Here is a 13,159-nt window from a genome sequence, read left to right on the forward strand (position 1 = left end):
GTTGGAATGAAGACTTAAAGAACCAAGTCAGCTCACAGTGGGAATGGAATGGGGGTTAGTTCAGCTATCACATGGCCCAGAGCAGGCTCACAGAGGCTGTTGGCTGAAGGCTGGGTGAGTGGATGGATGGGCAGGGAGCCCGACCCAGCAGCTGAGGATTGGGGAAACTAGGGAGGCAGACTGCAGATCAGGAGGCAAGGCATAAGAGAGACCTTGACTCTAGAAGACTGGCAGGGATTGACTGGAGAAATGATTTCCGTTTGCCTGGTGTGATGGGAAAGAACTGTCAGCCAGTGTATACTTCTCCCCATCTAAAATACTTCTGATTCTGTGGGTGAGGATTTGCAAGAAGGCACTCTGCCAGGGGGAGGGACTTAACTGTTGGCTCTGTGGCTGTTTCAGGAACACTCTAGGGCAGAGGGGGGTGGGGTGGGCAGAGACTTTTCTTTTTGAAATTTGTGAGTTTGTACCCTGACTTGCCCATTTCATTCATGTATTCATGCAACAAATATTTCTTAAGCACCTATTATGTGCCCACCTTTCTGCCAGGTGTTGGAGATGCAACAATAAATAAAAGATAGAATAGTCCCTGAACTTAAAAATCTTACATCTAGCTGGGTGCCATGGCTCACGCCTGTAATCCCAGCACTTTGGGAGGCCAAGGCGGGCAGATCATGAGGTCAGGAGATCGAGACCATCCTGGCTAACACGCTGAAACCCCATCTCTACTAAAAAATAAAAAAAATATTAAAAAAATTAGCCAGGCGTGGTGGTGGGTGCCTGTGGTCCCAGCTACTCAGGAGGCTGAGGCAGGAGAATGGCATGAACCCAGGAGGCGGAGCTTGCAGTGAGCCGAGATCGCACCACTGCACTCCAGCCTGGGCGACAGAGCAAGACTCCATCTCAAAAATAAAATAAAATAAAATAAAATCTTACATCTAGTTGAGGAAATGGATAATGAGAGTGCAGTATGATAGGTGCTGAGACTGGGGCCATGCGCAAGTTGCTATAGGAACAGAGGAAAAGGGCACTCATACTTCCCCAAGCCTGTCTTCTTTTTATTTATTTATTTATTTATTTATTTATTTATCATTTGAGACAGAGTTTTGCTCTTTAGCCTAGGCTGGAGTGAATGGTGTGATCTGGGCTCACTGCAACCTCCACCTCCCAGGTTCAAGCCATTCTCCTGCCTCAGCCTCCCAAATAGCTGGGATTACAGGTGTGAACCACCACGTCCAGCTAATTTTTATATTTTTAATAGAGACGAGGTGTCGCCATGTTGGCCAGGCTGGTCTCAAACTCCTGATCTCAGGTGATCCACCCGCCTTGGCCTCCTAAAGTGCTAGGATTATAGGCGTGAGCTACCACACTCAGCCTTAAGCCTCAATCTTCTTATCTGCAAAGTGGGAATCATGGCCGGGTGCGGTGGCTCACACCTGTAATCCCAGCACTTTGGGAGGCCGAGGAGTGTGGATCACCTGAGGTCAGGAGTTCCAGAACAGCCTGGCCAACATGGAGAAATCCCATCTCTACTAAAAACACAAAAAAATTAGCTGGGCGTGTTGGCTCGCACCTGTGATCTCAGCTGCTCGGGAGGCTGGGGCAGGAGAATCACTTGAACCCAGGAAGCAGAGGTCACAGTGAGCCAAGATTGTGCCATTGCACTCCAGCCTGGGCAACAAGAACGAAACTCCATCTCAAAAAAAAAAAAATGGGAACCATGTTATTCACTATAAGGAGTTTTCTGGTACATTCCAGGCCTCTGCTTGACACATATTAGGAGCCCGTTGCAGCCCATAATTCATTTATTCAACAAATGTTAATTGAGTATCTTATGTGTGTCAGGCACTTCTGTGGATGGTAGAAATGTGGCACTAAATAAACTGAGAAAGCCGGGCACGGTGGCTCATGCCTGTAATCCTAGCACTTTGGGATATCAAAGCAGAACACCTTTAAGCTCAGGAGTTCGAGACCAATCTGGGCGACATAGGAAGACTCTGTGTCTACAAAATATAAACAATTAGCTGAGCATGTTGGTGCACACCTGTAGCCCCAGCTGCTCAGCAGGCTGAAGTGGGAAGATTGTTTGAGTCTAGGAGGTCAAGGCTGCAGTGAGTCATGGTTGTACTGCTGTACTCCAGCCTGGGTGACAAAATAATATTATTTTTGTCTCAAAAATAATAAATAAATAAATAAACTGATAAGAATTGCTGCTGTCATCAAGATTACATACTACACGGGGAAAACAATAAGTAAAATATTCCGTAGGCCAAATGGTGACAAGTGCATTGGAGACAAATAAAGCAGGGATGGAAAGAGGGAAGAACTGAGGGAAGGGGGTTGTAATTTTAAATAGAGTAGTCAGGGCCTGTCTTAGTTTAGCAAGGATCTGAAAGAAGAGAGGCACTAGGCCATGGAGATATCTGGAGGAAGGACGTTCGAGGTAGAAAGATCCACAAATGAAAGGGCTAATGCTGGAGAATGAGTGGTGTGTGATAGGCTTTTACAGAGCCCAGAGTGGCTGGAAAGAGGTGACCAAGGTGTACAGCACCAGCAGATGAGGTCAAGGGAGGCCTTGGAGGGGAGCAGGTGTGGCAGAGCCTTGGGGCCATTGTAAGTCTTTGACTTTACCCTGAATGAGATGGGAGCCACTGGAGAGTTTTGCGCAGAAGAGTGACAGGATCTTACGTTTTGTTTTGTTTTGTTTTGTTTTGTTTTGTTTTGTTTTGTTTTGTTTCAGGAAAGAGTCTCACTCTATTGACCAGGCTGGAGTGCAATGGTGCAATCTTGACTCACTGCAACCTCTGCCTCCTGAGTTTAAGCAATTCTCCTCCCTCAGCCTCCCAAGTAGCTGAGATTACAGACATGTGCCACCATGCCTGGCTAATTTTGTATTTTTAGTAGAGACGGGGTTTCACCATGTTGGTCAGGCTGGTCTCGAACTCCTGACCTCAGGTGATCCACCCGCCTCAGCCTCCCAAAGTGCTGGGATTACAGGCATGAGCCACCGCACCCGACCTTCTTCTTTCTTTCTTTCTTTTTTTTTTTTTTCTTGAGATGGAGTCTCACTCTGTGGCCCAGGCTGGAGTGCAGTGGTGCAATCTCTGCTCACTGCAGCCTCAGCCTCCTAGGTTTAAGCAATTCACCCTGCCTCAGCCTCCCAAATAGCTGGGACTACAGGCGCCCGCCACCACGCCTGGCTAAATTTTTTGTGTATTTAGTGGAGATGGGGTTTCACCATGTTGGCCAGGCTGGTCTCGAATTCCTGACCTCAGGTGACCTGCCCACCTCAGCCTCCCAAAGTGCTGGGATTACAGGTGTGAGCCACTGTGCCCAGCCCTTTTTCTTTTCTTTTCTTTTCTTTTCTTTTTTTTTAACTGACAAGGTCTCCTCTGTCACCCAGGCTGGAGTGCAGTGGTATGATCATAGCTCACTGCAGCCTCAAACTACTGGGCTTGAGATCCTTCTGCCTCAGCCTCCTGAATAACTGGGACTAGAAGCATGTGCCACCAGGCCCAGCTAAATTTTTAAAAATGTTCGTTGAAATAGTATCTCACTGTTGCCCAGGATGATCTTGAACTCCTGGCTCTAAGTCATCCTCCTACCTTGGCCTCTGAACGTGCTGAGATTACAGGCGTGAGCCACCATGCCTGGCCAGGATCTCAAGTCTTAAATAGGACCACTCTGTTTTAAAGGATCACTTGTTCTGACTATATACCATGAGATGACAAACATAGAGCAGAGGACACCAGTTAGGAGACTCCCACATTAAACCAGGTGGAGATGATGGCAATTTGGGCTAAAGTGAAAGCAAAGGGCATGGTGAGAAATGGTTAACATCAGGATATTTGAAGGTGAAGTCAACAGGATTTGTTGACAAATTGGATAAGGGGGAGTAGGCAGGCAAAACAGAGTCAAGGATGCGGGGCGTGGTGGCTCACGCCTGTAATCCCAGCACCTTGGGAGGCTGAGGTGGGCAGATCGACAGGTCAGGAGTTCGAGACAAGCCTGACCAATATGGTGAAACCCTGTCTCTACTAAAAATACAAAAATTAGCTGGGCATGGTGGTGTGCAACTGTAGTCCCAGCTACTCAGGAGGCTGAGACAGAAGAATTGCTTGAACCTGGGAGGCGGAGGTTGCAGTGAGCCGAGATGTTGCCACTGCGCTCCAGCCTGGGCAACAGAGTGAGACTCTGTCTCAAAAAAAAAAAAAAAATAGTCAAGGATGACCTGAGCCATTAACTATGATTGGGGAAGACCAAAGGAGGAACAGGCTTGAGAGGAAAGATAGAGGGTTGATTTGGGACACATTATGTTTAAGAAGCCTGTTGGAAGTCCAAATAGGAATATTAGGTAGGCAGCTGGATACATAAGTTTGACACCTGGGGGCAAGGCCCTGATTTTAGGTATGAACTTAGAACTTCTCAGTATATAGTTGGTATTTAAAGCCACAGGAGTGAATAAGATAGTGAATCAAGAGGACAAAGGAAAAAGGTCTGAGGATTGAGCCCAGGGGCTATCCAACATCCAGCAGTGGGGGCCTCACCTGCTTTTAATTTGGGGGTTCGAAGGCTAGGTTTGAACATTCTGTAAGGACTTGTGCAAATATTTTCCCTAAGTTCTGTCTCCCCCTTTGAACCCAAATGCTCACCATGAAGGGAAAAGTCCACAGAAGAAAAAAAAAAAGTTTTAAATAGATTGTTTAAATTATTAGGTTATGTTTTCCAAAAATAGAAGGAAAGCTAAGTTCTGGGTCAGTGGGAGAATTTAGAGTTTTTAGCATTATCTTTCTCCCATCAAACCCTTAAGGCTGGGCTCCCAAGGAAGAGTCTTCCTGGCTTTCCAGCCCTGAGGGCTCTCTCACAAGGTCCCAGAACTCTGTATTGTAATTGTCTATTTTCTCTACCTCCAGGTGGAAGCCATGTTGAGTTCATCACAGAACTACTAGCCGGGCCTGGCACCAAATAGGCATCAGGGAATGTCAGTGGAACTTGACTGCAGAATCTGATGAGGAACTTCCATCTTCCTGGGCTCTGAGTGTCTTTCTCTAGTTCCACCACCAGAGCTGGTGTCTGTTCTGCCAGGCCCCTTTCCAGGCACCCATAGCTGATCCTGGAAAGGTAGGGACAGACCCTGTAGGCCTGGACTCTGTCCTTTGGGAGGAGAATATCCTCAGGGGCCTGCATGAGCCATCCTGAAAAACTAGTTCTGTGAGTCAATCCTCAAGTGAGTTCCTGTGGGAAAGGTACCAGAATCTTAGAGGTGAGGTTGGAAGCAGCTTGTCACCTCTTAGAGGCAAAGAGGGGTGTCTCCTCCGAACGGACCTCACTCTTTATCTGACCCAGAGTTCCTGGCATATCAACTGTGCTAGTACTTTGTCAAGGGTGCTGGCATGAGCCAAAAGGCCCTGAACTGGAAATTGCAGACCCTCCTATTAGACATGAGTGTGTCATGTCCATCATAAACAAAGAAACAAAAACCCTCTCTTAACGCAGGCTACTTTAGTTGCTGCATTATATTCTGCCTACTGTTTGTAGCTAAATCTCTTGAATGACTTGTTCAAACTTGCTATCTCCACTTCCTCACCTTCTATTTCATTCTTAACTCAGGTCCATTCCTAAAATAAGGCTGTCCTTCCAGGCCCTCCCAAATGATGTCATCTAGTGTAATTAACTCCAGGTACTACCATGATACTAATAACCTGCAGTCCCTCTCCTGAGCTCCAAACTCACGTATTCAGCTGCCTATTAGACATCTTGACTCAGCTAACCCACAGACACTTCAAACTCAACATGTACAGAATGAACTCATCATCTTTCCTTAAAACAGATCCCAAGTGTTCCCTGTCTTTGTGAATGCACTGCCATCCTCATCCTTGACTCCCCCACTCCCTTTCCTTTGTATATATAATCAGTCACTAATACATCAACCCTATGTCATGAATATCCCCGAAACACATACACTTCTCTCCATCCTCATGGCTTTTTTGCTGATCAGGGCCATCATCATCATTTTTGCCTCAATGATGACAATAACCTCTTAACTGTATTCTAACAAGCTTTGTGTAGTGTTTTGTTCTGTTTTAGAGACACGGTCTCACTCTGTCACTCCGTAGAGTGCAGTGGCATGATTACAGCTCACTGTAACTTCAAACTCCTGGGCTCAGGTAATCCCCGCACTTCAGTCTCCTGCCTAGCTAGGGACTACATGTGCATACTCCCATGCCTGACTAATTTGAAAAACATTTTTGCGGGGAGAGATGAGGTCTTGCTATCTTGCCTTGTCTGGTCTTGAACTCCTGGGCTCAAGCAATCCTTCCACCTTGGTCTCCCAAAGCATTGAGATTACAGGTGTGAGCCACCATGCCCAGCCAAGCCTCAAGTCTTGAATACTTTAAATCCATTTTCTTTCTTTTTTTTTTTTTTTTGACAGCGTCTTGCTCTGTTGCCCAGGCTGGAGTGCAATGGTGCAATCTCAGCTCACTGCAACCTCTGCCTCCCAGGTTTAAGCAATTATAGGTGTGTGCCACCACACCCAGCTAATTTATGTGTGTGTGTGTGTGTGTGTGTGTGTGTGTGTGTGTGTATTTTTAGTAGAGACGGGATTTCGCCAAGTTGCCCAGGCTGGTTTCACACTCCTGAGCTCAGGCAATCTGCCCACCTCAGCCTCCCAAGGTGCTAGGATTACAGGCATGAGCCACCATGCCTGGCCTGTAGGTAATATTTTCTAAAACACATATTATGTTCCTCCATTGCTCATAGCAACTCTCAGTGACTTCCCAGTGCTATGAAGATAAACTGCAAATGCCTTAGAGACCCTGCATGAACTGGGCCTTGCTTACCTCTCCAGCTTCATCTCTCACTACTCCTCTTCACCCTCTACCCCTTAGCCATACTGAATTACCAGCAGTTCCCCACATAAACCCTGCTCTTTCCAGTTTCCAAATTTTTGCCCATCTGTTCTCTTGGCCTTGAGTGCTTGTCTCCCTCACTTGCCTTCTTTATTCTCCCCAACCTTTACCTGGCTGACTTCTGTTTCCATTTTGAGACCTAAGTTTAAGTGCCATTTCCACTGGAAATCCGTGCCTGACTCTGTAATTCTGGATGGCAGTTCTTCTAAAGGGCTCCTACCGCAAACACACTGTACTTTATCCTCGAGGCACTCATCACAGTAAGTGACAATTACTTGTTCCCTTCTCTGTCTCACCCACCAGACCTGAGCTCCTTGAGAGCAGGGGCCTTGTCTTTCTAGTTCACGGCTGAATTCCTAATACTAGCTTAGTACCTGGCTTATAGTTGATTGTGTGTGTGTGTGTGTGTGTGTGTGTGTGTGTGTGTGTGTGTGTGATGCAGGGAAGCCAAAGAAGGGTCAGGATGCAATGATAACCTGGGGAAGGAGGGACAATTACAAAGGAAAGTCTTGGGCAGATTCCATACAGGTAGTAGCCACCAATGGGATGTGGAGGACAGGATCAAGGGTTAACTCAAGAGGCTTCAAGGTTCTGAGCCTGAGTGACTGGGAGGAATAGAGCTATTCACTAAGCAGAGACCATAGAAGCGAAGGGCAGTTTCAGGAGAAAAGCTGAACCCAGGACCAAAGGGCTGTGGGGGTCATCAAGTGGACACATGAAATAGGCATATGGGTAAATATTTCTATGGTTCTAAAAAGGAGTCAAGGCTGGAGACATTCATTTAAGAAGCTACCTGGCCAGGCACGGTGGCTCACGCCTGTAATCTCAGCACTTTGGGAAGCCAAGGTGGGCAGATCATTTGAGGTCAGGAGTTTGAGACCAGCCTGGCCAACATGGTAAAATCTCGTCTCTACTAAAAATATAAAAATTAGCCAGGTGTGGTGGTGGGCACCTGTAATCCCAGCTACTCGGGAGGCTGAGGCAGGAGAATTACTTGAACCTGGGAGGTGAGGTTGCAGTGAGCTGAGATCACACCACTGCACTCCAGCCTGGGCAACAGAGTGAGACTCCGTCTCAAGATAAAAACAAGGCTACCAAGATGGGGGCATATAGAGAGAAGACAAGTGTGATGATATAATCTTGGGGATCCATTAAATTGTGCTGAAAGAAGAGAGGGAGAGAGAAATGGTATTTGGACAGGTAAGAAAAAAGCCAGGAGAATTAATGGTCATTGGATCCAAATGCAAAGGACCTCAAAGAATGTGCTCATCCACCTCATTGAGTGTTGCAGGAAGGTGGAGAAGAATAGGCTACTCTACTTGGAAACTAGGAAGTCCCTGATTAGAATAGAAGCCAGACCAACAGTGTTAAAGGAATGAAAAATAAAGCAGAAAAGGCAGCACATGTAGACTGTCCTTTCTGAATCTTTCAAACACAGGTGAGGGCAACAGTGACCTAAGGACAACTTGGGAAGCAGGTTAGGGGTTCTAAGACTGGGCTCCATACACACACTGCTTAAGTTCAAATCATAGCCCCAACACTCAATAGCTGTGTGACTTTGGGCAAGTTAACTTACTTAACTTTCCTAAGTCTCAGTTTCCTTGTCTAAAACGGTGGGACAAGTAGCCCCTGTTTCATATGGTTATTGCAATGATTATATGAAAATGTATGTGAAGCACTCAGCACAGGGCAGAGACGTGGTAAGCAACCAATTAACGTGAGACATGAATTTTAACAGGGTCAAGGAGGAAAACTGGGAGGAGGAGAAGTTGCCATGCAGGAGGGAGAGAAGATGCTCGGGTGAACTAGGCTTTGAGGAGGTGGAAGGGAGGGGACTGAGGACTTGGAGGGCTTGTGGAGAGGGAGGATGGGGAAGTAGGCCTTTTCAAAACCCAACTTTGGCTAAAGGATCACCTGCTGGTTACTGAATGAAGCAGCTACTTCTGTTCCATTTTCTTGGGGAGTCATGCTGAGGCATCTCTAGGAGCTTCTCTCACTCCTAGAATCTTCCAGTGTTTCCTGGAGCCTGGTCTCTGCCTCTATGCCTCCCACTGCCTGCTGGTTCTCTAGCTGGAGGCAGCTGGACTCAGGCAGCCGCAGGATGTCCCAGCAGCACACATTGGGAGAGGGGGATTCAGAGAGAGCTGCTTCACAACTTCTCTTTGGGCTATACCCTTGACACAGGCCAAATCCTTCTGTCCCCGTCACAGGTACAGATACTTTCTATCTTCAGGTATTCCAAATGATCTTCCATGATTAAGGTTGCTTCTGAAACACAATGGTCTCCCTGGACCTCCGAGCTAATCTGCCTATTTCCAGTGTCAGTTCCACCAAACTGTTCCCCCTCTGCTGCCTGTGATTGTTCTCATACCTGTTTAAAACCCTGTCATAATTCACCTTGCAGTATCTCCACCAGAACTGGGAGGGCCTCTCCCACCTGCCCAGCCTACATTGGTTATATCTTCACTTTTACCCTCTGCTCCATCCTGACCAAAGCTATGGCTCTGCATATATTGCCTCTCTTCTTGCAATATCTTTTCTTCTCTTCCACGGGCTAGCAACCCCTCATCTTTCAAGAATAGTGTCCAACTAGAAACCTTTCCTAATATTGCCCCCACCACCACTGGTGAGTTGGATGTGCTCCTTTACTCAAGAGTTCCCACAGCAACTGGTGGCTGGCCTCCTCTTCCCTATTATTCCTTATACCTTAGTGTTACAGCTGGAGAATACCTCTGTCTCATTATCAGACTAGGCACTCTTCCAAAATGAGGATTAGGTCTTATAAATAGCTGTATCTCTAGGGCTTAGTATAGGACCTACCAACCTCAAATAGGTAAGTAGTACCTATTTGCCTTCATTCCTCAGGGAATACTGGTTGAATGAATAAATGTCCTCATTTAGGATGTATTCTGGCAGGAAGACAATGGAGATGCAAGTGGACTACTTTTCTTGCCCCAAGCCACATGGCCAGGATCCTACATCTTTGTTGCTTGACTGCCTCTCATTTCATAATTCAAGAGTTGCCAGCTTTCTTATTGATACTGACCTTTTTTTTTTTTTTTTTTGAGATGGAGTTTCCCTCTCGTTGCCCAGGCTGGAGTGCAATGGCGCAATCTCGGCTCACTGCAACCTCCACCTCCCAGGTTCAAGCAATTCTCCTGCCTCAGCCTCCCTAGTAGCTGGGATTACAGGCGTGCAGCACCACGCCTGGCTAATTTTGTGGTTTTAGTAGAGAGGGGTTTCTCCATGTTGGTCAGGCTGGTCTCGAACTCCCGACCTCAGGTGATCCTCCCGCCTTGGCCTCCCAAAGTGCTGGGATTACAGGCGTGAGCCACTGCGCCCGGCCTGATTCTGACCTTTTTATTCCACACATCTCAACTGTTGCTGAGCTGTTTCATTCTAGGAGGCAAAGAGCTTTTCTGGTTGTTCCTGAGATCACCAGCCTGAATCTCCTTTCTTGAGCACCCAGCAGTTTCTTTTCCAAGGGTATCGGAATCTTGAAAGGGCAGCAGATTCTTAGGCATGGGCGGGGAGAGCTGCTAGAAGACATCACTGTCAAAGAATTGGCAAAGTCAAGAATGTGCCAGCATCCAAGGGTCAAAACGTCAGGTGGGACATCCTGTTCCACAGCATGATAGCCCCAGAGGGGGTGCCAAAAGGATGACAAAAGCCTTGTGAGTGCCCAGGAATCAAGTAGAGATTAGGACCAACCCATCAGAGTGCAATTAAGCAAAAGGGGGAATCAATTTAAAGGTGCCAGAACAGGAACCATGCAACCAGGCTTCAGGAGAAAGTAGGAACGAGGGTCCTGAACTTCATTCATCAGGGTCCTCTCTCTCTCTTTTTTAAGACAAGGTGACACTCTGTCACCCAGGCTGGAGTGCAGTGGCACGATCTTGGCTCATTGCTGCCTCAGCCTCTCAGGTGTTCCTCACCTCAGCCTCCCTAGTAGCTGAGACTGCAGGCACACACCACTATGCCCAGCTAATTTTTGTTTGTAGAGACAGCATTTTGCCATGTTGCATAGGCTGACTTCAAACTCCTAGGCTCAAATGATCCAGCCGCCTCAGGCTCCCAAAGTGTTAGGCTTACAGGTGTGAGCCATCTGGCGGGAGGGACTTCTATCTCTTATCTCTTCTCTTCCTCCACCCACTTTCTCCTATATCCTCCCCCACTTCCAGGTTTCTCTGGCCCTTCCAACAGCAAGTATCGCCAGGAGCAGCTCCCTAATCTACATACTACAGATCTATCCACAAGAAGACAGATGGAACCACTCTTTTCTTCTGAATTCTAGAACCTTAAGGAAGTTAACCTGAGTGGCTCAGCTTGGATCAAGTGCCCATCCTGGTCCAAACAACTGTAGCAGCACATCTGTGTATTTGTGTATCTTGTTCCTCCATAATCTTGCAGTCCGGGGAAAGTGTGCAGATGGATGGGTCCCTGAAAAGCAAGAGTTGTTTAGACAACGCTAGAGGTGTTCAGTTCTGGGAGACAAGAGTTGGGCCAGGTTGATAACTAGCCTAAGAGAGTCGGAATCAGATGAATAAGAACTAGATCTTGGGTGACAACCTAGATCAAGAGTCTTGAGGTTCAGTCATTTCAAAAAGCTCAAGTCTCATTGCTTCTTGGCCTTCTGGCTAAGATCATGTGCAGTATCTGTTCTTACCAGTTTAATATCTGATACATCCTCTATCTGAGGATAATATAATAAATAGATTTTTGGAGCAAGGAGATGGAATAGGAGCTTGCTCTGTCCACTCTACACATTGGCCTGGATTGCAGTACCTCCAGGAATGGTGCACCCTCTCTACCACCCCCAAAAAGCCCAAGTCTCAAGAGGTAGTCTGGAAAAAAGTGTTTTTGGATTTACCTACATTTTTTTTTCCAAGATGGAGTCTCGCTCTGTCACCCAGGCTGGAGTGCAGTGGCGCCATCTTGGCTCACTGTAACCTCTGCCTCCAGGATTCAAGCAGTTCTCCTGCCTCAGTCTCCCAAGTAGCTGGGATTACAGGTGTGTGCCAACCATGCTCAGCTAATTTTTCTATTTTTAGTAGAGACAGGGTTTCACCATGTTGGCCAGGCAGGTCTCAAAGTCCTGACCTCAGGTGATCTGCCTGCCTTGGCCTCCCGAAGTGCTAAGATTACAGGCGTGAGCCACTGCGCCCGGCCTAATTTTTGTAATTTTAGTAGAGACGAGTTTTCACCATGTTGACCAGGCTGGTCTCGAACTCCTGACCTCAGGTGATCCACCCCCGCCCTCGGCCTCCCAAAGTGCTGGCACTACAGGCATGAGCCACCGCTCCTGGCCGGGTTTGCCTACATTTTGGAGATGCTGCACACCATGTCCCTCTTTTCAAGAGTCACGTAAGTATTTACATATGGAAGACCCTGAGAAGGCACCTGGGAAAAAACCTGTTTAACTGTAAATATAATAATGTATGTATTTGTATGTGGAGCTCTTCTTTTAGTGGATTATCTATAAACCGTCCACTGTTCCCAATGCATACTTTGGAGACAGACCTACACTACCAGTTTTCACCTGCTAGTTATTTTTATAAGGGTTGGGATGGTCCATGAGTGAACAGTCTTGATTTAAAGCAGTGTTTCCCAAACCTCATTTATTTGCCTATAGCCTTCCTGGAGTTTGTCTTATATGTCCGCTCTGTGCACTATTCCTATATGTTTTTATGTAAATCAATCACTTTTTTAAAAAGCCTCATCCCAGTTATATCCTTAAAACAATGGTTATTTTTTCTCATACACATCGAAATACATATCTATTAGAATTAAAATGCTTGTCCATGCACTATCAATAATCTCCTCAAGTACCATATGGTGGGGACATGTGTTTGAAGTGTTAGGAGTCAGGAGTGGTCTCTGTAAGACAGAGTAAGTCAGTCAACCTCTGAGCACTGCCAGCCACACATGCTGGCAGAGAAGTTCAGCCTGTGACAAGACTGCCCGGATATTTCCATGTCTGTGCACGGGGATGTCCTCGGTCTGCCATTGTGAAGTCTGTGCTGTTTTCATGCCTACCTAGTCTTCTTTGGAGGGGCCTGGAAAGCAAATGCAGGCTGGGTACAGTGGCTCATGCCTGTAATCCCAGCACTTTGGGAGGCAAAGGTGGGCAGATCACGAGGTCAGGAGTTTGAGACCAGCCTGACCAACATAGTGAAACCTTGTCTCTACTAAAATTGCAAAAATTAGCTGGGTGTGGTGGTACGTGGCTGTAATCCCAGCTACCCGGG

General features: G+C 46.9%; 1 long non-coding RNA gene and 1 pseudogene across 2 annotated transcripts in view; both read left to right on the forward strand.

The window, feature by feature from the left end:
- The window catches only part of LOC100128988 (uncharacterized), a 44,684-nt gene extending 31,964 nt beyond the window's left edge, over positions 1–12,720 (forward strand). The window contains exons 3-4 of one of the 2 annotated variants that reach the window (NR_145524.1): positions 6,434–6,519; positions 11,093–12,720. This is a non-coding gene — a long non-coding RNA (uncharacterized LOC100128988). The remainder of the gene's footprint in view (positions 1–6,433; positions 6,520–11,092) is intronic. The other variant, NR_145525.1, reaches the window with a different exon arrangement.
- On the forward strand, positions 11,529–11,715 carry RNU2-52P (RNA, U2 small nuclear 52, pseudogene; annotated as a pseudogene).

This window comes from Homo sapiens, chromosome 20 (assembly GCF_000001405.40).
Source record: "Homo sapiens chromosome 20, GRCh38.p14 Primary Assembly".
NCBI classification, from domain to species: Eukaryota; Metazoa; Chordata; class Mammalia; order Primates; family Hominidae; genus Homo; species Homo sapiens.